Here is a 1778-nt window from a genome sequence, read left to right as displayed (position 1 = left end):
AAGGCAGCTGCCGGATGCTTCCTAACTTCAGGCCCCCAAAAGGGGTGGGACTGGAGCCCAGTGGCTGAAGCAGGACTGTTTGCCTTGACATTCCGGGCCTGCGGTCCCACTCAGGAACTGGGCAGGACGAAGGCACAGATGCAAACCAGGTGGCACCCAGTGACCCTTCCTCTGGACGGTTGTGGGTTCTGTCCACGCTCTGTGACTTCACCTGGCTTAGAAAAGGAGCTCTGGCATTTTGGGGCGAGGTGGGAGGCTGGAACACAATTTCTCCGGGTGTTGCGAGGTTTCAGAACTTTTTACCTGGGCCTCAGTTTACTAAATGAGACACAGCTTTGAGTCGACACCCCCCTGCCCCAGTCTCCAGTTTTCTGACATTAAGATTCTGAGCAAATTGTCATATACTTTCGCCTTGTTACCCAGGGTTGCTCACTTCGAAACAAATGCATGCAAACCGAAGGTATGCAAATAGACATGTTTTGTTTAAACTGCCAATCCTAAAGCTTTTTCTGCAGGAGAAAAAAAATATCCCGGTGTTTTTCCGGAGAGGTGGCCCATGGCTGGTCGCGAGGTTTCTGGCTTTCTCTCTCCGGCCGGCTGGGGTAGGGAATTTGCGTAACGTAAATGGAGTCCTCCGTGGAGCCCCTCGACCAGATCGGCTGGAACCTCCTAGTGTGCTTCCGGAGGTTGCCGGCAGAGGGCGCCGGCGGCTCGGAGGCCCCTCTTTTCGGCAGCTGGGAGGGCAGCGGGGCGGACCGACGGGATCTCGCGAGATTCTCGCGCGGTAGGCCCTGAGGACCCAGCATGGCGGACTCGGGACTGCTGCTAAAGCGGGGTTCCTGCCGTTCCACTTGGCTGCGGGTCCGCAAGGCCCGGCCCCAGCTCATCCTCAGCCGCCGGCCCCGCCGCCGGCTCGGGAGCCTGCGCTGGTGCGGTCGGCGGCGCCTACGGTGGCGGTTACTGCAAGCCCAGGCGTCCGGCGTGGACTGGAGGGAGGGAGCCCGCCAGGTGTCGCGCGCGGCGGCGGCCCGGAGACCCAACACCGCGACCCCCAGCCCGATCCCTAGCCCGACCCCGGCCTCCGAACCCGAGTCCGAACCCGAACTCGAATCCGCCTCGAGTTGCCACCGGCCTCTCCTCATCCCACCGGTGCGGCCCGTGGGCCCCGGCCGCGCGTTGCTGCTGCTGCCGGTCGAGCAGGTAGGTGGGGGGCGCCGGTAGTAGTCCCCGAGGGCAGGGAGGGCTGGAGAGGCAGCCCCGGGAGAGCTGCAGGGTAGGAGAGGACCGTGGTCCCCCGGGCCTGTTCTCTGGCTGCCAGTCGGATTCAAGTCCATCCTCTTGATGGTTGGTGGCAACTAGGCTCCCCTGAGCAGCAGGGTAACAGGTACCCTGCTAAGGGGTCCCTAGGCCTTACGAGCTAAAGGGACTTTATTTTGTTTTGTTTTCTTTCTTTCTTTTTCTTTTTGAGACAGAGTCTCACTCTGTCCCCCAGGCTGGAGTGCAGTGGCACAATCTCGGCTCACTGCAACCTCCGCATCCCGGGTTGAAGCGATTCCCCTGCCTCAGCCTCCGGAGTAGTTGGGACTACAGGCGCGTGCCACCTCGCCCGGCTATATTTTTTGTATTTTTAGTAGAAACGGGGTTTCGCCATGTTAGCCAGGATAGTCTCGATCTCCTGACCTTGTGATCCACCCGCCTCGGCCTCTCAAAGTGCTGGGATTACAGGTGTGAACCACCGCACCTGGAACTCTGAAAGGGATTTTAATAGTTAAAAAAAA

The 1778-nt window shown here is 59.9% G+C and overlaps 1 protein-coding gene across 1 annotated transcript in view, besides 1 other annotated feature; it reads left to right on the top strand.

The window, feature by feature from the left end:
- The window catches only part of NOL9 (nucleolar protein 9), a 33167-nt gene continuing 32182 nt past the window's right edge, over positions 794-1778 (top strand). The window contains exon 1 of the mRNA NM_024654.5: positions 794-1200. Within this exon, the coding sequence (NP_078930.4) occupies positions 805-1200 (396 nt within the window). The 5' untranslated portion in view covers positions 794-804. The remainder of the gene's footprint in view (positions 1201-1778) is intronic.
- Positions 829-1088: a silencer, noted in NCBI's record as "silent region_162". NCBI's record gives its function as "represses an Ori minimal core promoter by ATAC-STARR-seq in GM12878 lymphoblastoid cells {active_cell/tissue: GM12878}" and the evidence as "EXISTENCE:reporter gene assay evidence [ECO:0000049][PMID:35858748]".

Source organism: Homo sapiens, chromosome 1, assembly GCF_000001405.40.
Source record: "Homo sapiens chromosome 1, GRCh38.p14 Primary Assembly".
NCBI classification, from domain to species: Eukaryota; Metazoa; Chordata; class Mammalia; order Primates; family Hominidae; genus Homo; species Homo sapiens.
The sequence above is the reverse complement of the archived record's forward strand: the minus strand, read 5'-3'. Positions and strand labels throughout refer to the sequence as shown.